This window comes from Homo sapiens, chromosome 10 (genome assembly GCF_000001405.40).
Source record: "Homo sapiens chromosome 10, GRCh38.p14 Primary Assembly".
Lineage (NCBI taxonomy): Eukaryota > Metazoa > Chordata > Mammalia > Primates > Hominidae > Homo > Homo sapiens.
The window spans coordinates 131768195-131792556 of NC_000010.11; the positions used below are offsets into that span (position 1 = coordinate 131768195).

General features: G+C 50.6%; 1 long non-coding RNA gene across 1 annotated transcript, besides 4 other annotated features; it reads right to left on the reverse strand.

The window, feature by feature from the left end:
* Positions 1935 to 2434: an enhancer, noted in NCBI's record as "H3K4me1 hESC enhancer chr10:133602465-133602964 (GRCh37/hg19 assembly coordinates)". NCBI's record gives its function as "activates a minimal SCP1, AML or CMV promoter by ChIP-STARR-seq in naive H9 embryonic stem cells {active_cell/tissue: H9 hESC(naive)}" and the evidence as "EXISTENCE:reporter gene assay evidence [ECO:0000049][PMID:30033119]".
* Positions 4204 to 22005, reverse strand: LINC01164 (long intergenic non-protein coding RNA 1164). Its single transcript, NR_038365.1, has 5 exons — positions 21883 to 22005; positions 21463 to 21672; positions 6690 to 8101; positions 5663 to 6011; positions 4204 to 5493 (listed from the first exon to the last, which is right to left on the reverse strand). It is a non-coding gene; the product is annotated as a long intergenic non-protein coding RNA 1164 (long non-coding RNA).
* Positions 5048 to 5548: an enhancer, noted in NCBI's record as "H3K4me1 hESC enhancer chr10:133605578-133606078 (GRCh37/hg19 assembly coordinates)". NCBI's record gives its function as "activates a minimal SCP1, AML or CMV promoter by ChIP-STARR-seq in naive H9 embryonic stem cells {active_cell/tissue: H9 hESC(naive)}" and the evidence as "EXISTENCE:reporter gene assay evidence [ECO:0000049][PMID:30033119]".
* Positions 5549 to 6049: an enhancer, noted in NCBI's record as "H3K4me1 hESC enhancer chr10:133606079-133606579 (GRCh37/hg19 assembly coordinates)". NCBI's record gives its function as "activates a minimal SCP1, AML or CMV promoter by ChIP-STARR-seq in naive H9 embryonic stem cells {active_cell/tissue: H9 hESC(naive)}" and the evidence as "EXISTENCE:reporter gene assay evidence [ECO:0000049][PMID:30033119]".
* Positions 9112 to 10311: an enhancer, noted in NCBI's record as "MED14-independent group 3 enhancer chr10:133609642-133610841 (GRCh37/hg19 assembly coordinates)". NCBI's record gives its function as "activates an origin of replication core promoter dependent on BRD2, BRD4, P300/CBP and CDK7 cofactors, and independent of MED14, by STARR-seq in HCT116 cells {active_cell/tissue: HCT116}" and the evidence as "EXISTENCE:reporter gene assay evidence [ECO:0000049][PMID:35650434]".
* Positions 22006 to 24362: the final 2357 nt, after the last annotated feature.

The following is a 24362-nucleotide window of genomic DNA, read 5'->3' on the forward strand; positions in this document are numbered from 1 at the left end:
GCCTCAGCTCTTCTGACTCAAGTCATAGAGGGTGCCCCAAATCCATCTGCACTCCATCCTAACTTTAGCGTGCTTCTTACTTTTTGGTAAATATACTAAACGGCAAGAAAGATATCCAACGCTGGAGATGACAAAAGCCAACATCTGATATCAAAATCATCTTTTTAAAAAAACAAACTGTATTTGGTTCTTCTTTAAGAAAATCATTGTGATAGACCAATGCTGCAACTGTTCACATATACAGGGATCCTCCATGTCCCCACTGCCTACTGGGGACCGCCAGCCCTGCTGGCTGACTCCTGGTGATAGGAGGGGGCTCTCTGGAGGCCACCTCCCTCCACAGCACTGCACAGTCGCTGGGAGGACCCCTTCCTGCTAACTGGACCCTGTCCCTTTGACCAATCTTGACCACCCTTGACTACCCTTGACCACTCTAGACCACTCTTGAATGCCCTTGACCATTATTGACCACCCTTAACTACCCTTGACCACTCTAGACCACCCTTGAACACCCTTTATTATTATTGACCACGCTTGACTGCCCTTAACTACCCTTGACCACCCTTGACTACCTTTGACCCCTCTGGACCATCCTTGAACAACCTTGACTATTATTAACCACCCTTAACTACCCTTGATCACCCTTGATCATCAATGAAAACTCACCCTAGTCCTGGGATTGGGCTGGTTTAATTTCATTTTTGAAGTCAATTCAGTTTTACATGCACTTATTGAGTGATTCCTGTGTCCCTCCCACATTAATCCTGCTCTGAGCCCAGGGTCAGCCACTCAAGTCTCACTGGAGGGGGGCAAGCAGAGGAGACCTTTGGCCAAGGACAGTCCCCCACACAAGGTAAGGCTGAGGTGAGCACCCATCAATAGTTCCCTACTGCTTAATACCCTGAGGGGGCTCAGCTTTGCATAGGAGCTAAGCATATGTAATGATCTGTGCATATGTAATGACCTGCACATATGTAAATGACACACCATACAGAAGTAAATGAGCTCAGTCCCACCTCCTCTACAACCTCTCCCTTAGAGACCATCATCGGAGCCTCACGGTAGAACCTATTTGTACAAAAACTTACTCTGGTAATATTATTTGATGCTAGAGGAAGCCTCTCTGGTGAAAATGTGAAACCTTTTGCCGGCTGGTTTGCAATGTGTTTCAAGTTGATTGCTGCCATCTGACATAGCAAGTTCATTAGACACATTTCATCTCTCTAAGTAAATGGATATTGGCGACTTCGTCTCACCCCAGTAACAAATGCACTGGAGGCATGAGAAGCCCGCACCTGCGGCAGTTCCATCCTGGCTTCCATAAAACGCCCTGGGAGAGGCTGTGTCTTCCTCGGGGCGGCCCAGAGGGCCCAAAGCGATCCTGGCACATGCTCCGGAACCTGTGTAAAGTGGCTCATTTTCATGCACAAAAATGAGAGGAGAAAAAGGTTTTTTAATATTAATGAAACCGTTGCTATAACATCTACAGCGCGCCAGTATGAGTATCATGATTAAAAATTGACTTCAACTTAGAGCCAGCTGTAAGCCTCATTGAATTTTTATGGGTGTGTTGACTAAGTCACCCCGGGCTAAGTCTTCTGGTGTTGATGATAATATCCTGGTCTCCTCTCCAAAAATCCATTGGAACTGACCGAGCGTCTAGCACCGCCGCCCACTGGCCAAGTCAGCTGGGTCGATACCTGCCAGGCTGCTGGCTGGGCTCTGCTCCATGGACACACTGATCCGCTGACATGAATGATTTGTCTGTAAAACCCAAATTACCGTTTCACTCAAAGTAACACTTATAATTTTTGTCTCCCTGATGATGCTGGCCTGATCCATAATAGCCCCTTGGGGGACACCAAGCCTGGTGGTGCAAGGGACTAGGAGGGAAGCCAGAGACGGCTGGGGTTTGTGGCCCCAAAGCCTGAGGGCTGGGGCCAGGGACATGACGACCCAGCAGCTCCTGGAAAGGCAGCAGGCATCCACAGGATTCCAGAGGCAACATTCTTACCCCCTTCTGTTATTGCTGACGCAGTCCATCTGCCACGCGTTTGAAGGGACAATTCTCTCCTCCATATGAGAATAGGATCTGCATTGCTTTGCGTCTTAAATGTTAGAATGTGTTTCCCATAATATTGTTTTCTCTTTCCATCACTCAGCACCAGGCTGGCAAGGCCAGCTCCTTGCCCTCAGGAGCTCACAGGGAGAGGAGAGATCACCGTGAGGTGCAGGCTGAGCCATGGAAGAGGGTTGTGAACACAGACAGAGTCGTGAAAGCCCAGGGAGGAGGCTGTCCCAAAGGAGACTTTTTAGAGGAGAAAACCTTTGTTACGGGTTTGAATACTAGAAGCTGGCCAAGCCAAGGACTCAACATCTAAAAGGCATGCAGGGAGAAGAGGCCTGTGTTTCTGAAAAGTGGGAGATAGAGTAACTGGATGAGGCACGATGGGGAAAGGGGGATGGGGGACAGTGAAACTGTGGGGCCTCAGCTGCCAGGCCCATGAGTGCGAAGCCCACCCTTCCACCTCCCCGGAGGGGAAGCCAGCAGAGGGCTCCTGGCCCAGGGAAAAACTGCCAGCCTCTGGGGTGACGTGGGGACCAGGGCAGGAGGGCAGCGAACAGCTGACACCTGGGCCCAGGGGAGCACAGAGGTGGGGCGGGGAGGGGTGAGGAGGGGAGGAGTGGGGAGATGCAGGACAGGGAGGGGCAGTGTGGGGGAGGTGGGGCAGGAGGTAGGAGAGGGGCGGGGCCCCCGACCACCCTTTCCAGGTAGCTCCTTGGCAGGGTCCGAAGCACCTGTACCTGGCATGGAGGCCGCAGTCTATGGGGGGCTGGGGCTTATCGGGTCCCAAGGCCTCAAGGGTCACTGAGCTAGAGGCTGTCTGGCTTCTCCCTGGAGCTGGCACTGGGGCTTCTGGAATTCTGGAGGTTCAGCTGCAAGCCGTGGGCCCCCTGTCTCCCTCCCGCTGCCGGGAAGCCCAGGAGCTGGTGACGGTGCAGGAAGGTCGCCACCTCCTTGCTCTGGAACTGAGCAGCGCTGGCCCCACCTGGATGTCGCCTGGGTGTGGCACTCATCTGGAAATTCCACTTTAAGCAGCGTGAGGAACGGGCTGTGGAGGGAGACTTGTGACCAGGGCTGGACCATGCTGTCATTCTGCCCCTTCGCTCCTTCCAGAGCTCTGCCGTGGAGCAGGTGTGATCTGAGGAACTGTGTAGCCCCAGGTGGCTCCACCAGGCCCCTGGAGAGCTCAGCTGCAGAAACTGGAAGAATGAACCAAGGGCCGTAGGGGCAGAGGCCTGCAGCCTGGGTGTTCTGACATGGACAGCGCCTGGGACAGCTGGGAAGGCCTGCGTGTGTCTCAGGAAGGCTGTTTCTGGGCTGAGATCCTGACCCCGAGGGCACGTACATGAGCAGGGACACAGGCGCCCACCTGCTCCACTCTGCAGGAACGCAGGTCAAACCCTGGGATGGATGTGGTGATGGGTGCAGTGACAGGTGCAATGACAGGTGTGTTGCTGAAGTGACATGAGAGCCGGGGCCGGTCTGGACCTACTTGGTGAGGCCCAAGAGCAGGGCGTCCCCTGGGCCGGAGCCACTGGTGCCATCTGAGTCAGAACCAGAGTGGGTGGAGCGGCAGACGGGTTGGCAGCCAGCTCAGCGTCCTGCTGCCTCCTCAGTGCTCACCCCACGGGCTGGAAATGGTGCCCAGCAGGAACCTGCGGGGCCAGACGGACACAGAAGGAAGGACAGCAAGAGGTGGGATGGTGGCCTTGGGGAAGGTGCAGCTGGGGGCACAGAGCCTGGCCCCTCAGGACAGGGAGGCCACAGATGAACCCACCTGCCTCTATCCAGGCCCTCACAAAGGTCCCCCACTGTGCAAAGGCTGCACTAGCCATCAGAACAGCAGTGGGTGGGTGAGAAAGGGGCTGAGAGGAGGCCAGGCCACCTGCCTGAGTCTGGCCAGCCCCCAGGCCTGAGTGAAGGAGGCTGGGTCTGAGCGCCAGGTGTGGAGGGCACAGGGCTGAGCGGGCTTACTCAGGGCCTCCGTGGTGCAGGCACTTGCCAGAGGCACCCACACAGCTCTGGACACCACAAAGCCGTTTTCCACAAAGCCAAAGGCCTTTGAAACCCCAACCGGCTCCCTCAGTAGAAGACTCACTCACGAAACCTAGACTTGAAAAACATCAGGAAGGAACTTTGGCTGCTGATTTTCTTTTAATTTGTGATTTTAGGGCAATTATTTTATACAGCTGTTGATTGCTCTGTGTTAGGGAGGAAGAGAGAGGCCATTCGAAGGAGGTGCCCTGGGTCCAGCCTCAGCCCTGGGCAGGAGGGAGGGCGTCAGCCTGGGGGTGGTCAGGCATCAGAAGTCGTCGTTTCCCCAGGAGCCCCCACGCCTGGAGTTAAAACAGATGCGCCATGTCAGGTGCCAAGGCTGAACTTTAAACAGCCTCAAGAACAGCACGTTGAAGTGCAGTGGTGACGTGATGTGGAAACTCTGGCATGTTGAAATAAAATCCATCTGGTTACTGTAAAGATCAAATCTGAGTTTTAAAAACCCCCTTCACATTTTTGTTCATGCGAAGGCAGAAGGACTTCAAATTCTTCCAACCTGCCTTACAGATCTCCTTAAGGAAAAGTTGAAGGGATGTGTTCTTTCCCTCTTGGTATCGTTTAGAAGTAACAATGGTTGTTGCCTCCAGGACTTCAGCACGACCATAGCAGGTGCCATGACCTGCCTGGCCCTGCCACCTGGGTGGGACCCCAGCGCCCCCTAACTCCCAGCCCGGCCCCTGAGACCTCAGCTTGCCATGAGAATGGCCCTCCTGCCTCTTCCCTCTTCTCTCCCCAACACAAAAAATCCACCAGACCCAAAGATCAATGAGTCAAAACAGCGGCAGAGGAGGAAGGCAAAAGCTACTGTGGATGCAGTTCCTTGCTCTGTGATTTGGAGCCTCTGAATGTGCCATCTCTGTTTATTTCGTAGGCTTTTAAAATATTTTGCTGCCAAAATCTTCTATAGAAGATTTGTAATTTTAACACAGGCCCCTAAATCATTCCACGTATTGATCACAAAGAAAAGCGAACTGTGACATCTCTTTGGTCACACCTCCGCTGGCTCACTCGTAATCCCGGGGATGCGGCTGTTTTGTAAGTAAACAGGGAGGGAGGGAACTGACTGCTTGGAGCCAGGAACAGCACTGTCCATTTAAACGATCATCATCCGTCTAAAGCAGTGATTCTCAGCCAAAGACAGTTCCCCCCAGGGGACATCTGGCAGTGTCTGGAGGACACTCTGGTTGTCACCCCTGAGGAGGGGGTTGCTGCTGGCTTCGCATGAGTGGAAGCCGGCCATGCAGCTCAACATTCTGCCACTGCAGCCTGGCATCCCCTGCTGCCAGGAACCACGCAGAGAGGCACTGCTCCACGTGGAAACCTGGAAGGAAGGCTTCCTTCGTCTCTCAGAAACACAACTCGCTGGCATCACCCTGGAACCCAAAACGTGAGGTTTTTGTTTAGCCATGAAGAATGTCTGCTTCTGCAGATGCCCACAGGCAGCTCACACGCACACACGCACGTGCACAGACGCCCACGTGGGTGTAAACGTCACGCACTTTCACACCCCAACCTTGGCCTCGCCCATATTTGGCCACATACCGGGCAGGCAGGCCGGCTGCCGTCGTCTGATTTGTCAAGCGGCTCCCCTGTGCCTTATTCTACCTGGTACATCGTCTCGACTCCCTTGGGGCTGTGTTTTTCGGAAGACATCAGTCTCACACAAACCCATCCCAGGAGGACAAGTGATCCCAATGATTGCATCGTTGTTTGAGAAAGAAGAAAAATTCACAGCCGCCCTTCACAGTGTGCTCAGAGTAAGTTGCTGGCTCAGGCGTCAGGACCCATGGCCTCTGTTTCTCCAGGAGGTTCTCTGCTCACAGTGTGCTCAGAGTCGTCGCCGGCTCGGGCATCAGGACCCATGGCTTCTGTTTCTCCAGGAGGTTCTCTGCTGAGGGAGGAGATATACATGCGTGATTCCCAGCACTGTAAAAACATCAACATTCAACTTCATTTTTTTAGGAAAGAGAATTTTTTTAAGCCTATTGGAAGTTTGAGATAAATTTCAGGAACGCCTCCAGAACTGGATACATCTGTGTCTGGTGCTTCTGGAAGAATCTGACTGTCACAGGGCACGGGGCACATTTGGGGTGGAGCGTAATTAAATTAGCCCTGTCTGGGGACTGTTCTGAGGATGTCTGAGGGATAAGCTGTACAGATGAAATGTCAATATTTTAATAACTTTCCTTGAAAAAAATATTGCCGTGTAATTCTCTCTTGGTGCGCTCTCAGTGGCTCGTTCTGTCCCTGCGGAAGTCGGCCTGGAGGAGTTATGGTTTTAGCTATTGATTCCCTCCCTGCCCCCTGCCCCCAACACCATGGGTTGGGACGAGAAGCAAAGTTAAACCGGGGTCAGACACATGGGAGGCTCCAAAAGCCATTCGCAGTCCGGTCTATTTTCCACCTCGGTGACGAGAAGATCACCAGGCTTCTGCCGCTCCACTGGATTTAAAATAGCTGTGGCAGCAAAGCAAGTCTCCTCCCACAACACACCCCACCGAGAACCCGCTGCAGTGAACTGAAAGAATCAGAGCAAACCCCCAGTGTCTCCCCAGCCTCAAGAGCTCACCAGTCAGGACGTGGCAGCGCCCGCCTCCTGAATCACTCCCGCTGGGGTTCTCTCTGGCAACGCAAAGCACAGCACAGAAGCAGGACGAGGCCCCAGCCTCAGCGGTCAGCGAAGAAAAGACCAGCCTGCAGCCCCCACACTCTGTGGGGCCTCCCTGAGCTCGCTCCAGACCCCGAGGCCCCAGGTGTCATGAAGGCAGAAGCACACCCACTCCCCAACGCCCCAGTGGGCTGAGCTCAGTGGCCCGTGCAGGGCCTGCTCCCAGCCTGGGATTCTTGCCTCTTCTGTTTCACCCCCACTCCCAACAAGGTGTTCCTGAGACCACCCCACAGACACTGATCCTTGTCTGGAATCTGCTTGTGGAGAAGCAAACCAGCAAAAGATATCACAGGGTGGGCAGCAGGCTCAATAAAACTCACCACATCTTTAATGGCTTAAGGACAAGGTCCCACAGCTCCTACTTACTCCCACGTGAGCAACCGAGAGACTAGAAGGAGAATATGATCCACAGCATGTGCCCTTCCACTCAGATTCCAAAACTAAGAAAGAAAAAACCCTTTTGTGCCTGAGTCAGCAGAGGGGGGACCTAAAGGCTTTGCCTTCTGGGGATGGGCAGACAGGAAGCCTGGTCCCACCTACAAACAGGCAAGCAGAAAGGAAACGGACGTGGGCTTCTGTGTCACCGCCTCAGGGCCAGGACGCGGCTGCAAAGGACCCGTGGAGAGCATCGGAGCGGCTGCGAAGGACCGGTGGAGAGCGGCAGAGAGGCAGGCCCCGGCATGGAAGCCGCTCCTCGCTCAGCTGGGGGCTGAACCTGTGTCTGCAGCTGGGAGCTCTGGCCTGAGGAGGGAGCACTTGGCTTCTCGATGGGACTGGGTGAAAACGAGGGTTCAAAGTTCCTAGAAAAAAAGGTGGGAGTGGAGAGGAGAAGGAGGGAGAGAGAGCAAATGAGGCAGCAGGACCCTCCTAGGAGCAGGGCTGGCCCAGGGCACAGGCTGCATTTCCACAGGCCCCTCCGCAGAGAGGCGAGGGTCCCACAGGCACCCACTTCCTTCTCGGTGCTGGCTGGGCTTCTGCACAGTGACGGCCCGCCTCCCCTCTCTGGCAGAAGAGAGGACAATTCCAGGAGCCTCCCGTTCCTGCCTCCATCCAGCATGGGGGCCACCAACCCTCCAGTGCAGGCATTTCCCACTCAGCCCAGGCCGCTGCCTTCCTCCTCAACTCTCTCCAGCCGGAGTTGGGGGCGAATTGAAACCAGCCTCTCCGGTGGCCACGACTTTGAGGACCATGGAATGGTTGCTGCAGACAGGCTTTCTTGAGATGGCAGTTGTGATTTCCTTGGGACAGTCAAGTTCAGTGTTGCAGAATCATTACTGTGGTGCTGTGATTCAGTCATTCGGATTGTTCCATAACTATAATGCAAAAAGCAATCATAGACGGATATGTAGGAGACTAAAAATAACCAGGAACACACGCCAGCCTTATCTGAAGGCGGATGACAAGAGCTGTGCTGATAGGATTTCCCCTGCATTTATTGATTTGTCTCAAAAACAAAGGCATAAACATTGCAAATACCTGACATTATGCCCTTAGAGAGGGAAGGAGAATCACACCTGAGCAGAGGTGTCATGACGGCAGAAGCACATGCACTCCCCAGCTCCCACGCTCGTGCCAGACCCTGCAGAAGCTGCCAATGCAACCGCATTTCTCATTGATTCTTAGGCCTCTCCTGTGACACAGCACAGCTCTTCCTCCGCCGGACTCACAGGTATGGAACGTGGCCATACGCACCCCCTCTGACCTTGCATGCTCCAGTTCCACGAGAGCCACTCCAGCACAAAGACTCCTCCAGGGGGAGACTTGAGAGAGGCCAAGACAGGATGGGAGAGGGTTGGGGGCAGGGACAGAGACAGTCTGGAAACAAACAAAGACTTCCCCTCCAAACGAGAACAGACAAATGCTATTTGTTCAGAGCCAGCTAGCAAGAAGTGGGTTTGATGGAGACTCGGGGCAGCAGAGGACTGGGAGAGCCTCATAGTGGAGACACAGGAAGGTCTCGGGCATGGACGGAGGGAGGCTGATGGCCAGAAGATAGGAGAGTGGAAAACAAGCAAGCCTCCACCTGACCAGCTAGGGGGACACAAGGGGCTTTCTCTAGTTGGCCCCAAGTTGGAAGCAGAGACTATGGAAGTTGTCAGTTATTGATCAAGACCTGGCCATTTTGAGCCTACTATTACAGAAGATACTGTTGAGCTTCCTGCACTGGTTGTTAGAGACATTGGTCTGACTTCCTACCAGACTGATTGGTACGTAGCAGGCAGGCTCCTGGGCTGATCACTGTAGACAGCAGGCTGGCTTCCTAGGTTGGTTAGTGTAGATGGCGGGCTGGCTTCCTGGTGTTGGAAACAAATGCTCGGTGCCACAAAGAAGAACCTGCACTCAGACAAAAAGTTTTCTCGGCAAGGCAATTTACTTCTGCAGAAGGATGCTGCCTGCATCAGCCACGATTGCAAGAGTACAATGAACAAAGGAGAGAAGGGTTTTTATCCCTAACACAGTTCCTGTTTCTGTGTCCTTTCTCCATTGGCTGGAGTCAGACCACACAATCCAAACTAACCAGATTGGCTAAGACTTAAACTTTTCCAAATATGACTAAGACTTTAACTTTTCTAAATATGGTAAACGTGCAGCTTGCTAAGAGAGGAGGAGAAGGAGAGACTGTCTGTTGCTAAGGTGGGAAGGGTTGTCTACAAACAAGTTCAAGGCATGTCTGGGCATGTCCAGGTATGGTAAAGGGTTGTTTATAGAATAAGAGGTTTGCTAGTTATAGATCAAGCTGAGGAACAAGGGTTTGTTACAGTTCAAGCAGAAGGGGGGCCAAGGAGTCTTTGAAGAGGAATGTATTGTCCTTAACATTGGGCTGGTTAGTGTAGATGGTAGATTGGCTTCCTGGGCTGGTTAGTGTAGATGGTATACTGACTTCCTGGGCTGGTTAATGTGGTAGACTGGCTTTCTGGGCTGGTTACTGTAGAAGACAGACTGGCTTCCTGGGCTGTTTAATGTAGAAGACAGACTGGCTTCCTAGGCTGGTTAGTGTAGATGGCAGGCTGGCTTCATGGGGTGGTTAATGTAGACGGTGGACTGGCTTCCTGAGTAGGTTAGTGTAGATGACGAGCTGACTTCCTGGGCTAGTTAGTGTAGAAGACAGTCTGGCTACCTGGGCTGGTTAGTGTAGATGGTGGGCTGGTTTCCTGGGCTGGTTAGTGTAGATGGTGGACTGGCTTCCTGGGCTGATTAGTGCAGATGGCAGGCTGGTTTCCTCAGCTGGTTAACATAGATGGTGTGCTGGCTTCCTGGGCTGGCTGTTGTAGATACTTTGCTGACTTTCTTGGTTGGGTACCATAGACAGTGGGCTTCCTTTCTCCAAGAGGTACCTTTGCTGCCCACAGTGGCAAGTCCAGGGTGGGCAGGGAGGAGAGATGGAGGGAGACAAGTTCCTCTTCTGACTCTCTGAACCCCAACCCAGTCATCTCTGAGTCCACAGGACCCCACCTGTGGAGCCAGTGGTCTCCTCCTTTTGTCTAAGTTACCACTGGGCTCCTGGTTGCCAGCAGGGGGCCCTCTGCGAGAGACAAGAGAGACGTGCTTGTCCCCAGGCTGGTGGCCCCGGGCTGTGTGATGATTGCAGCATTTGGGAGAGCGTGTGTCGCCTTCCACAGGTTTCCATCTTAAACAACCAGAGGGGCCCTGCAGTGGGGGCCAGTGCAGCTGGTGGTGGAGTGCAGACGAGGGGGCAGATCACCGCTGGGGAGCAGCAGCTGCCCTCTCAGTCCCAGCCTGCCCCGCACCCTGGTGAGGTTTCTGCACAGCGACATTTCTTCTTGACAATTCTGGCATTCAGTTTCAGATCCACAGTCGTCCCTGGAGATCTCAGTTTTCTCTGGGACTGGCTGCCCCAACCACGCCAACAATGCAGGTGTTTCAGCCTCGGGTCTGAGACACAAAACCAAACGCAGTGAGGAGGAGAGTGAGATGCCAAAGTCCTTCCTAAGGAGTACCTGACCCCAGCCCTACCCCTGCCTGACCCCACAGAGAGCACACGCAGCTCAGCCTGCAGGAAGGGCCCAAGGCCTGTGGGAGTTCCAGGCGTCCAGCTTCGGCCTCCTGACCTCTGCTCCACTTGTCCTCCACCACCTGACCCTTCAACAGGGCAGGCAAGAGGGCACTGCGGGGGTCCCACAAAGGCAAAGCTTCTGTGAAACCACAGAGCCTCCAGAGCTGAGAGTCGTCCAGGTCAGGAATCCTAACCAGTGTATCTTCTCCCAGGGATTGCTGCCTTTCTGTTGCTATTTGGTTTTGTTTGGTTTGGATTTTTGTCTCCTCCTGAGAATCACTGTTATAAATATCCAGGAATTTCTACAAAACCTCTGGGATGAGAATGCCAAACACCTATGTGCTATTGCTAGGCCATAGAGGAGAGGCAGCCAAATTCCTGGAGTGCATGAATGAATGAATGAATGAATGAATGAATGAATGAATGAAGGCATTATCTGTGTCCCTGTGAGGTGGAAAGGGGACAGTACTTTGCTCCTCCATTAGCCTGGAGGGGCTGGATGTCCACTAGCCTGCAGGGTCCTGGGAAGCCTGGCCAGCCTTGTCATCTTCATGGTCCCCACATGCATTCACCCTCCATTGACTGCCTCCCTTTCCTCCCCAAACCGCTCCCTCCCCAGAACAAGATACACTTCGGGTACTGACAAGCAACCATACACTTTTTATTTAAAATAATGAGAAGATGTTGTTATTCTGGGGGGTTATAAATGGTGCTACCTCAGCAGCCCCAGAGCTGCTCTTGGAGCTGAGCTCTCCCTGTGACGTCCCAGCCCCCCACCAGCTTCCAAGGCCTCTCCATCTCCACGACTGTCACCATCACTGCCCCCAGCACAGAGGGCTCCTGGGGCTCTCTGCTGACCACTCAGAAGCACAACCTAAGTGCTCTTGACTGCCCCTCTGACTGAATCCACTGAGGTTCTCTGTGGGGGCTTCACGTTCTACCTGGTAGAGGGGCCTCCCCACAGCACGGAGCTCACTCACCAGGACAACACTCTGGGTGACCACTGCAGCCTCAGTGGAGCCACACCTTCCCCACAAGGATGTCCAGGGAGGCCTGGCCACTGAGGCAGCACACAGGACCCAGACGGTCTTCCCTAAGTGGGAGGGTCGGGGCAGGGAGCTGTGCTCCAGGGAGTGACCAACCAACCATCCAAGTTCCAGAGGCACTGAGGGGCTTCCCAGGACTTCAGACCCACAGTGCAAAAACGGAGACAGTCCCAGGCAAATGGGACAGTGGGTCACCTTAGCAGGTCCTCTCCCATCTCGCCTGGGTCAAGGCTGAGGGACCCTGAACTAATCCTAAAGCCGGAGGGGGTCACCCCAGGTCCCCCACCATACACATCCATTCACACACACCTCTCCCAGCAACCTTATTCCTCCAGCCTCAATCGAAAGGCCGTAGATGTGGAGCTGGGGCCAAAGACACCCCTGCTGCCACTGAGCCTCACAGCCACAGCCCCAAATCCGTGGCCATTCAGAGCCAGGCACTGTCCACAGAACAAAGACCTGTGCATTCCTTGCTAATTAGTCCACCTTTCAGTGTGCAGAGTGCAGCATCTTTAACTTCCCAAGGAGCAAATGGAGCCAATTAATTCAGCAGGAGGAGACCAAATCAATTTCCCAAACAGCTTGTTATAGGACTTGCAACTTCACAGACAAATCTCATGCCTCCACCTAACCCACCAATCATCCTCGTGTCCAAACAGCCTCGCCATTAACATCAGAGCCACTTGCCTCTTTTTGTGCATAACCCACTACCTCAGACGCTGGGAAGAACTCAAACTAGGACTGACTGGTGAGTTCTTCCCAAGACTCACTCTCTAGAGACCTAAATCCTGGCCCTGTCCAACCAGGGGATGAGGAGAAGCCTTCTTCAGGAAGTAATGACCTGGACCGGCCAATCTCAGTTGACCTTGTCTTCTTTAGAGAGAATTGTCTCCAAGTCCAAATCCCATGTAAGACTTTTGTCCTCCCCAGGGGAGTACGCTGTGCCCAGAGCAGTGGATCCCAGATGTCCACAGGCTCAGGTTAAAATCCAAGCGGAATCACTCAATGTCAGAACTACTGACATTTGGGCCGCATTGTTCTGCACTGGGAGAGCTGCCCTTACACTGTTGAGTGGCATCCCTGGCTCCACCCACCACATGGCAGGAGCACCCCCCACTAGTAACAGCCAAAACCACCCAGAGGCATTGCCCGATGTCTCCCAGGGGCAGAATCGTGCCACTGAATTGGACTGAGTAGATATCATGCATCAGACATCTTCGTGGGCCCTCTGGGCTAGGAAGGGTTCAGAGGGTGGGGTCCAGCAATCCCAGCTGTCCTGCTCAGGGGCCTTCAGTAGCAGGCACAACAGAGGGATGCAGGCATCTGGGGGACAGGGCTGCCTACCAGTGAGTGTGGTCACCAGAAGGAAGGGAAGAGGCAGGGCCGGAAGCGCCCTGAATGCCCATTTTGACCGTGGCCTTGGATAGAGACAAGACTAACATGGCCGAATTGTTGCTCCACCCCCCTTCCACACACATTCAACAGACTCCTTTTCAAAGAAACCCTGAGATTCAGACTTTCTTGGAGACAGAGGTGAGCTGAAAAGGTCTCCAGCTGCTAGGAGCTGCTGGCTTGGTTGAGTGTTCAAGATACAAACAAATGAAAACTATAATGTTCAAATTCCAAGGCAGAGGTCTGGCAGCCCCTGATGGCTTTGAAGAGTTTGGATGACTTCAAAAGATGCTACATTTCTGCCCAGAGTGTCCCCAGCCACATGCCTGTCTTTGGTCTTAGGTATGAGTGGATTCTTCATGTGGACACGTGGCTTTAGGTGATATAGGAAGGGGCCACTGTATTAAAGTGAAAAAGAATGAATTACCCATGGACAAAAAACTCTGCCTAGCTTGATCTTGTCCAAGGCTTTGTCTCCAAGTGTCTGGGCACCAGCCCAGGTGCTGGAGTTCACTGGGAACCATGGCCTTGGCCTGGCCCTGGGAGCTGTGAGTTGGTGTGAGTAGCTATGGCCTCTGTCTCAGCGATGTGACATTTCTGCATAATTCTGTGCTGTGGCACTCTGTCTTGGGCCCAGCGTTCCCGCTTCTTCTTCCTAAGCCATGGTGTCCTCCAGTTGTGATGGGGCTTAGCCATCAGGAGTGGGATAACTCACTCTCTAGAGGTGACTTCAATCCCACAGAGAAGTGAGTGATGGAAGTCTTTGCTGTGCTGTTTGTTTCTGAAGACTTGGAAGTATTTGCTTGGGGGGACAAGACAATATCATTATTCATCTTTCTCTTGTATTTGCCAAACCAACACTTTTTGTGCTTTACTTTTTCATCTATAATAACAGGATAGTGGTGCAGCTATTTCTGGAACTGGAAACAACAGCTGTCGTTTTTCCTGTGGAGAATTTGAGTTTAATCTAAATGGCCAGTGTGCACATTCACTTTCCCAGTGTGAAGGAAATACGTATTTATGAACATCAGGTTCTTGGAGGATTCCCATCAAATAAGAAACTCAGTGGCCTTCCCTCAGAGCTCTTAGAGGAAATGGTAATACTGGCACCCTTCTTTCCTCCTAAAGCCTCTTGGCTACAGCGACACTGTGCCCACCCAACTCTCCTCCAACTTTCCTACAACACTTCTCTAATCTGGTTCCTTGTCCTCCTCCTGAACCCTAAATCAGGAAAAGGGGTGCTAGATGGTGAAGATCTGTCTGTATTGGGGGTGGGGAACAGGAGAGGAAAGCAGCCCTTCCCCATGAGCCTCACCCCGTGAGGACACTGAGAACACAGGTTACCATGTGCACTGCTTCTTTGGGTCTGTGTTACTCTGAGTCCTCCAGAGAAAGAACCAATAGGATAGATTAGATAGACAGATAATCAATAGGTGGGTAGACAGATAATAGATAATCAATAGATAGGTAGGTAGAGAGATATTGATATGGTTTGGCTGGGTCCTCACCCAAAATCTCATCTTGAATTGTAACCCCCATAATCCCCATGTGTTAAGGGTGGGACCAGGTGAAGGGAATTGGATCTCGGGGGCAGTTTCCCCAATGCTGTTCTCATGATAGTGAGTGAGTCTCACAAGATCTGATGGTTTTATAAGCACCTGGCATTTCCCCTGCTAGTTGTTATTCTCTCTCCTGCCGCCCTGTGAAGAGGTGCCTGCTTCTCCTCTGCTTTCCACCATGATTGTAAGTTTCCTGGGGCCTCCCCAGCAATGTGGAAGTGTGAGTCAACCCTCTTTCCTTTATAAATTATCTAGTCTCAGGCAGTTATTTATAGCAGCATGAGAACGAACTAATACAGATAGATAATAGATAATCAATAGGTAGAGACAGATCTGTTAGAATAGGCAGATAGCGGCCAGGTGGGGTGGCTCATGCCTGTAATCTCAGCACTTTGGGAGGCCAACACAGGCAGATCACTTGAGGTCAGAAGTTTGAGACCACCCTGGCCAACATGGTGAAACTCCATCTCTACTAAATAAAATAAAATAATGGGCAGATGGCTAGACATGAGCAGGAGAGGGAGCCCCTGAGAAAAGGGAGGTCTGGAAAAGTCTCACACCCCAGGGACCACCAGAAACATGCATGCTGGAAATGAGCAGAGGAGGGGATATACTGATGCAGGAAGGAACACCCCTTAGAGACACCCAGTCATCACTCCCTCCACAGTCAACCTGTCAGAGCAGAGCTGTCTGCGTGCTGATAAAGAGGAAAGAAAACAAAGGAGAAACTCAGAGACAAGCAGTCGCAGTAAGTGCAGATCTGGCCATGATACAACCTTCCCGAGTGGAGGTAATGAGCAACACAGCCATTAGGTAGAATTTGCATCCAACACTGGCCTGGCATGGGTACCGCCTGATAGTAAAGGAGGGTCCCAGAAGCCCAGGGTGAGAACTAGGTGAGGAGAAGGTGGGGACTTAAGACAGGAATGACAAAACTAGACCCTCCCAAAAAAGGCAGAGCCTTAAGACAGAGGTGGGAACTTCAGGAAAAAATACAAAGTCATAAAAACCCAGCGTAGAACCCTCAGGGGCTGTAGCTCATTCTCCTTCAGCTGCCCCCTCTGTCTCATCTTTCAGAGTGCACTGTCCCTTTAAATAAACCCTCTGCTCCCAATTTTCCTTCCATAAATTATCTTCTTGGATAAGAGAATAAACTCCATAAACTGTCTCTTGGCCAAATTCTTTCTCCCAAGATGACAAAGGACTGAGGATTCCCACACTTCCTGATGAGAGAGAGAGAGAGAGATTGATTGTAAGGAGTTGCTCACACAGTTATGGAGGCTGACAAGTCCCAGTTCTGCCATTTGCAAGCTGGAGACCCAGGAGACCAAACAGTGTAAGTTCCAGTCCAAAATCCAGCAGGCTCAAAACCAGAAAAAGGTTCATGATTCAGTTCTAGTCCAAAAGCAGGGAAAACCAATGTCCCCTCTCAAGGCGATTAGACAGGAGGAAAGCAGGAGACCCACCCTTTCGTTCTACTCAAGCCTTCGCCTGATTGCAGGGGCTGCCCTAACCAGGGAGCACCATCTGCCCTACTCAGTCTACAGGTTCCAATGCTGGTCCCATCCAGAAACATCCTCACAGACACACCCAAAAAATGTCTGGGTGCGCGGCCCAGTCAAGTTAAAGCATGAAATTCACCATCCCATGATGTGCACCCATCTCGGTGTATTGACCACCCACTCTTGCCTGACATCTTCAGAAATAAAATAGACCTTGTGCCTGGAGCCACTGAGAGTCAGAGGTTGTTGGTGAAGCAACTGGTCACATGTCTCTGACTGCTGAAGTGGACAGTGCCCCCGCCCACGGGACCCCAGCCTTGCCCTCGCCACAATGTGGCCACTGTAGACTTCCTCAGTGGGACCCATTTCCACAGCACATCTAGTCAATCCTGCCATGTCAGCCAGAGGTCCCCAATCTCAACCCCAGCAGACCAGAGGAGCTCCCCTCCCCCACCGCCTCGAAGCCAGTCTCTCCTCTGGGCCTCCCATCCTGTGCAGGTGGACACCCTGTCATCACCTCTGGCTCCTCCCCTCACCTACGTGCAGTGGAGGGGCCCATCCCTCCACGTCCGTGTCAATGTGACTGATGATTCCTCCTGCCTTTGCGGGGCTGACTCTGGGCCCAACGTTGCTCTAAGTGTCATAAATGGTGTCTTCTCACAACAACTAGAGGTTGTCATCGCTGTGACCGCCATTTACAGATGCAGCAGCTGTGACCCAGCGAGGTTGAGTGGCTTGCCCACACTCACCGCCTCCGTGCATACCGACCCCGGCCTGGAACCAGACACCCTGGCCCGAGCCGAGAGGCCCCTTGCTTCCTGCTCCACACCTTCCCGGGAAAAACAAGCACTCTGAGTTGGGGTCACCAAAGCCACAGAGTGCAGCTCAACTTCAGCTTGGTGTCTTGCAAAATCTCTTATTCTCTCTCCTTGGTTCTCCCCTACAGCAGCAGAAACTGCCCAGCAGTCCTGTTCTATAGACTTTCCCCTTCCCCTGCCATTGCCCTGCTGAGACACTCCCCACGGCACTCCTGACTCCTTCCTCCAGAGCCCAGAATATTCCAGGCCCAGGGCTGGACCCAATCCCCCAAAAGGCCACTGATGCCACCATGGCCTGTTTCTTCTCGGTGACACCTTGCAGCTCACTGAATTCAGTGGAAACTTTATACCCAAGAGCATATAGAAAATCAATTGTGATAATTCAGAAGCCATCTGGCCTCCACTGGCTACTACTCAAAAGAATACCGAAATAAGCCACTTCAAAACCCTATTTACTATTCATTGACCACCTACTATGCACCAGACGTGCCCCTGGGCCTTTTGTGTCAATTACCTGGTTTAATTCTCACCACCGTCCATGAGGCAGACACCATTGCTATCCCCATTTAACAGAAGGAAAAAATGAGATGCAGAGAAGCAACTTGCCAGACATTACCCAGAGAATAAATGGCAGAACCAGCTCCCAGCCCGGGCGTTACTCCAAAGCCAATCCCCCTAACTCCTACAGGGCTGCTGAGCCAACGTTACACAAAAGCAGCGACTGTAGAAATGAGGAGAAAGGTGAGCATCAGAGTTCATCCGGTTGACCTTGCGGAGCTGCCCTAGGGGACGGAGAGCTGCTGTGCTCCCTGCTTCTGCACACCAGGCAGGAGTCAGGCCACCACGAGCCCCTTCCCCTCTATCACCTGCCGCATTCCCAGCCCACGGCTCTGCTCAGGGTGGACTGGGCTCCTCTGGCCGCCCAGCTCCCCTGCAGGGTGGCTGACAGGCCCTTGCCTACCCTTCACTTCTAACATTGCTATCCCCATTTCCCAAAATTCAGCAAGGTTAGTTCCCTTCTCTTTTCCCCTAATTCTTGCTTTTTAAGATCAATCCTGAGCAAGAGGAGCTTTCTCAAGAAGGAATTATGTGCATCTGTAGCCCCACTGAAGCTTCAACAAACTGATTCCCCCAGATGTGCTCAATGGAAGAAGTCAGGTCCTTTGTTGTGTATCAGATCCACTTGGCCAAGGAGAAGGGTTCTGCGCTGATTCATTCATAAAATCTTCATCAAGCTCTTACTGCATTTATCATCCTGCGCAGGAACTAATGGGTACGTGCATGCACCTGACAAGGAAAAATGGGCCTAAGAAACATCACCGTAAATGTCATGTCTTTAAGACATAAGCGTCAACATTTTAAGGATAACATTGAATTTTTTTCAAAAGAATATTATCTTTTTCAATAGAAAATACACAAATCTGTACCAGTGTGAATGTCCTAGGTCATTGATCACAATGGAACTGGTTCCACTGAGTTATGACCTGCTGTAAGAAGAGGCATGGAGACTTGTTCTGTTCTGAGGATCCCGGCAGTTCTGAGTTTAAGTGCTTGTCGGCTGGGAACTTTGGTTATGCACAGGCAAACCTCTGGAACCTATGTTCCCAGGCCAAGGAGACTAAGGTAACAGTGTTGTCAGTGCACACCGTACAGTCCTTGGAGCTGGGCTCGCCTTTTCCTGTGCCACCTGAAAGCTCTGGCCAACGCAGTGGAAAAAACAAAAACAAAACGAAACAGCAATAACAAAAAAAACCACACTGGGTTTTGACTGAAGTGACATCTATCGCCGGCATTATATAGATTCGAATTTATTGACTTGACTCTTTTTTTTAATTCTAATTTATTCACCATTTCAAAAACCAAGTATGTGATTAAAATCTGCTGCCACCTGGTGGTGGTCACAGTGTCACATGTCATGTTCCAAAAAGTGAAGTCCACGCTACAACTGTGTTTTGGTAAAGGTAGCAATGAACATATTTTTCTCATCTATTTAGGGGAAAATGGTAAAATATGTGAACTTATTCATTGTTAATCCTACATGTGACAAGTATAATCCGAGCACAAGCCTTGAGGCAGCATTTCTTAACTGGTCATAGATGCTTTTGAAACCCTGATAAAATGTGGGAGGATCTCCCTGGGAAAATGAACACACGTGCACATTCACAAAGTTACACATGCAACTTTGAAAGAACACAGTACAGAGTGAAGATGCTTGCTTTAAAGAAAATACCTAGAATTCGATCTCACTGAGATGGTTGCAAATTAAAAGGCTCTAATCACAGTGAAAAGGAACCGGTAGCTATGAGCCACTGTGAGTTTTCTAAGAAGTCAAACCAAGTGCACCCTGATTCCATTTTGTTGTTATGATATGTAAAGGTAAATATATAGGAGATATACGTGTTTTATATATGTGTATATAAAACATAAACATTTATATATTTTTGTACTTATTCATATAAAACATATTTATATATAATTATTGTACAAGATAATTTAATTCCATGCAATAGTTATTTATCACATGGCTGGACTGGTCACTGGGCCGGGTGCTGAATGCTCAGAAAATTAAGACACAATTTCTGCCTTCAAAAGACCCACAGCCTGGCAAGGAAAATGAGCAGACATATATACACATATATAAGAATTATAATCTGATATGACAAGTGTTCGTCCAAAGGCACTACGGGAGCAAGAGGAAGAAGCAATTTCTTCTATCTGATTTGAGGGGTGGCAGGGAGAAAAAGTTGCCATTTCAGCTAAGGAAAGAGATGGGTAACCCCAACCCCAATGTGAAAGACACATATTCAAAGCAGGGAACTGCATGGGGGAAAGCTCAGCAGCATCAAAGTTCACAGGACCAGCACGTGCTCTGGGGTCAGGTCGCCAAAGCCACAGAGTGAAGCTAAACTTCAGCTTGGTGTTTTGCAAAATCTTTTATTCTTTCTCCTTGATTGTCCCCTACAGTGAACCTTCCCACCAGTCCTATTCTATAAAATGTTCCCTTCCCTCACACTCCAGGGATTATCCAGGGTGCAGAACAGGGAGGAGTATGCCCCATCTCGTGTGCAAAACCTCATTATGTAAGGTAATTCTATGGGATACCTTTTATACCCCACATGAAAACCCTCCCAGCCTCACCTCGCACTTCACCCAGTACCTCCCAGGCTCTGATCCACTTTGCATAGGTGTCACCTGACACCACCTGGGCTCGGAGATCTGCTCACCTCTTACTTCCTGCCTTGGCCCCGGGGTCACCTGCAGGAGGCTGCTCAGCAATCACAGTTATGCAAGTCTCCAAAGACAGGGCCTCCACGGCCAGGACAGAAGCAGATAATAAGTTCTCTTTCCTTTACTGTCCCAAGGAGACTGTGCTGAGATGCATTTCATAAAGGGCCTCAGAAGGTCTCAAAAAGCCCAGCATCAGCCACTCCAAGCGGCTGTCGATTGGATAAGCCATCTGGTATTCCCATTCACTCCTTCCCTCCCTCGCTCAACTCACTCCTGCTCGCCTGAGCCCTGAGACCCCTGCCCAAAGAAACAGCCTGAACTCAAGCCTTTGTCCCTAGCTCTGCTGGAGAAGCTCCATCTAAGACCACTGATACCACACCTGAAAGCTCTAGATAGCAGACCTTCAGGATAGAATTTGGGGGCTAGTCCCCTCGCCAATCCAGCACACAGAGGAACCCCATTGCCAGTGGCAATTGGGGAAGTAATAAGCCCCTGGCCTCAGCTGCCTCATCATCACCAAGAAGGGCACTGGAATAGGGCTAGAGAGAGGTGCAGGGAGGTGCGGGGGAGGTACAGGGGAGGCACAGGGGAGACAGGCTTTGCACTGGCATCCATGACACCTTAGAGACTCCCCATCCAGCAGGGTAGGGGTCCCCAACTCCCAGCCATGAACCAGTACCAGTCTGTGGCCTGTTAGGAGCCAGGCCACACAGCAGGTGAGCAGCAGGCTGAGGAGCACTGCTACCCAAGCTCACCCTCCTGTCAGATCAGCAGCGGCATTAGATTCTCATAGGAGCACAATCCCTATTGTGAACCGTGCTTTTGAGGGATCTCGGTTGCCCACTGCTTATGAGAATCTAATACCTGATGATCTGAGATGGAACAGTTTCATCCCCAAACCATCCCCACCCCCAGTCTGTGGAGAAATTGTCTTCCACAAAACGTGTCCCTGGTGCCAAAAAGGTTGAGGACCACTGCGCCAGGGCGTTGGATTCAGAAGGTCTTGCAGAGGGTGCATCAGCAATATGCATTTCTAACTGGCAGCAAAAGTCCTCTTACAAAACGTTCATCTACTGTAGAAAGATTTAGGATGTAGAAACAAAAGAAATGTCACCTGTAACTCTGCCATGGGTCAGTGTGCACCATCTCAGGCTCTTCTGCACGCCCATGTGGGTGGGGTCGGGGTTGGGTGTCTCGGCCAGGTGGAGGCTGGGCCAGGCCCCAAAGCTGTGGGCGGCAGATGCTGCATCCACCTCCTCTGGCTTGGATCTAGAAGCTTCCTCCTCTCTCTTCCTCTTGCCTGAATTGACACAGGAGATGAAGCCTGGGGAAAATGGACCAGAACTCAGACCCCAACCCCCAACCTACAATGACATTCAAGGATGTAAGACGCACATGATAGATTTGTTAGCACAGTGTTATCTGTAAATCAGAGCTGTGTTCACTGTCAGTTAGAACAGGCTGGGTTATACCGAGTAACAAATGTCCTGCAATCACAGAGGCTTCCCTCCACAAAGATCTGCCTGTCACTCACCACGTGCCCAGGGCTTGGCTCAGCCCTTCACAGGTGGATGGGCATTCGCAAACTGGAGCACGGCAGCCTGTCATAGAGACAGGAAATGAGCACATGGTGAACAAGTGCTGGCTCTTAGCTTCTGCCCAGCAGAGCCCCATGACACTTCTGCTCACATTTCATTGGCCAAGGCAAGTCACATGGCCCTACTGCCACATGACACTTGTACTTGAATTTCATTGGCCAAGGCAAGTCCCCTTGCTTTGCCTGCTTCAGAGGAGCAGGGATGTTCAGTGAGCAAATCACCCTGAGAACTTGATGACTGTCCTTGCTCCATTCTTTCTTTTATCACGGTCCTTTGTCCACCGACACATCACCAGCTCTGGACTGGAGCTCCAGTAGAGAGGGCACCAGGCACACTCATCCTTGTATCCCACAGGGACTGCCATCATTGGCAGACAGGCAGTCTACTTCTCTTTTTCCTGCCAAGAGTCGGAGAGAGCAGTGACTTCCACAACACTGGCCCTGCAGACTTTGTAACCTAAGTTCCCAAAAATGGACTAAAAAGTAATGAGTTCTTATCCTGACTATTCACTCAGCAATACTTAGTTATTAAACATCTTCTATGTGCCAGGTACATAATGTGGAGAATAAATAGAAGTAGAAAATAAGAAAATGAAAATATCCTACAGGTTATCTCTTATTCAAAATGGTTGGGACCAGAAAGGTTTTGAGTTTTGGATTTTGGAATATTTACATTACACTTAATGGTTGAGCATTTTGAATCCAAAAGTCTAAAATCTAAAATGCTCCAGTGAGCATTTCCTTTGAGCATCATGTCAGCACTCAGAAAGTTTCAGATTTTGGAGCATTTCAGATTTCAGATTTTTAGATTCAAGATGCTCAACCTGTATAATTTCACCACTCTGGGGGACCTACTTAACATTTTTTATATATTTCCTTTCCGTTTTTTTCTATGGATTTTTTTGGTCATGCCGACTTAAATAATTTTCTCTTTTTTTTCACTTAAAGTTATAACTACAACAGTCTTAAGAACTCTTTGAAAATTTAATTTTAAAGACTGAATCATATTGCCTTTAATGTGGATTACATCAGTGCAGGTTATTTATTGGGCCATCTTATTATCATTAAACACTTTGGGTCATTTCACTTTTTTATTTTTTAAAATGCTATGATTAGTATCATTTTTAAAATTATACCTCAAAAAGTCTTTGTAAGAAGATTATTCATAAGGCGTAAGCATAAGGAAACCTTCTTATGAGATCATTTGTTCCACAACAATTTATCTCAGCCTAATTGCCTTTTATTGGCCATAGAGCTGTTCACTTCCTCAGCAACCCAGGGTTCAAGTCCTGTAAAACACAACACTGGGCAGTTCTAGAAGAGAGAAGCGTTTCTGGAGCTTGGCTCTAAAATCTTCAGATCACAACAATTTTCACAATGAAATAAAATTTAATTTTTGGCTCACATAGTAAAAGATTATATCAGATTTCTCATTCCTCGGAAAATCAGAGAGAACTTAATAACAAATACCATAATTATCTGCAAAGACTGAACGGTGATTAAATTATCAGGAGGCCGTTACTCCTAAAACTATTTCTTTAATTAGCTAAAGCTGGCAGTATATATTAATATTTCCTGAGATATTTGCATACATTCACAACAGGCTAACCAGACATTAGCTGAAATATAATTTTTCTAATATTATGTTAGAAATATTTTAAGATTAAATCATATTATCATGTTTTTTCCTGTGATTATTAGAGCAGACACTCTTGATTTATCACCATAAATTCTCTAATTTAGGAGCTGAAAATGCTTCTCGTTTTCCATGATGAGCTTTTTCAATTCCATTTACACAATAGAAGGTGCTCTTTGAAGCCCAGATCTGCTGGTAGAACGTGGTTTTTGATAATCCACATCTGCACACTGCTCCCAGACAAACACAAGGAAGCCCACCCTAATATGTAGCTGGCAGGACCCCGGCCATTCAGATTCCGTGGCCACAGCAGGAAAAGCGTCTGGGTAGCAGTGGGTGCAGGGACAGGGTGAGGGGAGCTGGTCCTGGCTGGCCACAGCACCAAAGAGCGGAGGACATGTCAGCAAGCAGGATTTGAATGAGGGTCGAACAGGTCTTTCTCAACTCCATCCCAGCCTGCATAGAGGACAGGACACTCAATTGAATTGGGCAACTCACAGAAGGTCCCAAAAGGGGGTCAGTACAGAGGTGTGGGGATGGTCAGGGAGGCCACACCTGGGAATCACAGCAAGGCTCTGTCACCACCACTGGGGACAGGAAACTGGGGAGTCCTGTGGTGAGCCCCAGAGCAGAGGACCGCCCAACAGGAACCAAGCCCTCAGGGGAGGGGCGCAGCCAGCTCCAGGCTGCCCCGGGGGAGGGAGCAGAAAATAAAGGTTCTGACCACTCTCCATTCTCTTTCTCCACACCCCTGCCCAGGTCCCTTTGGCCAAACCCAGCA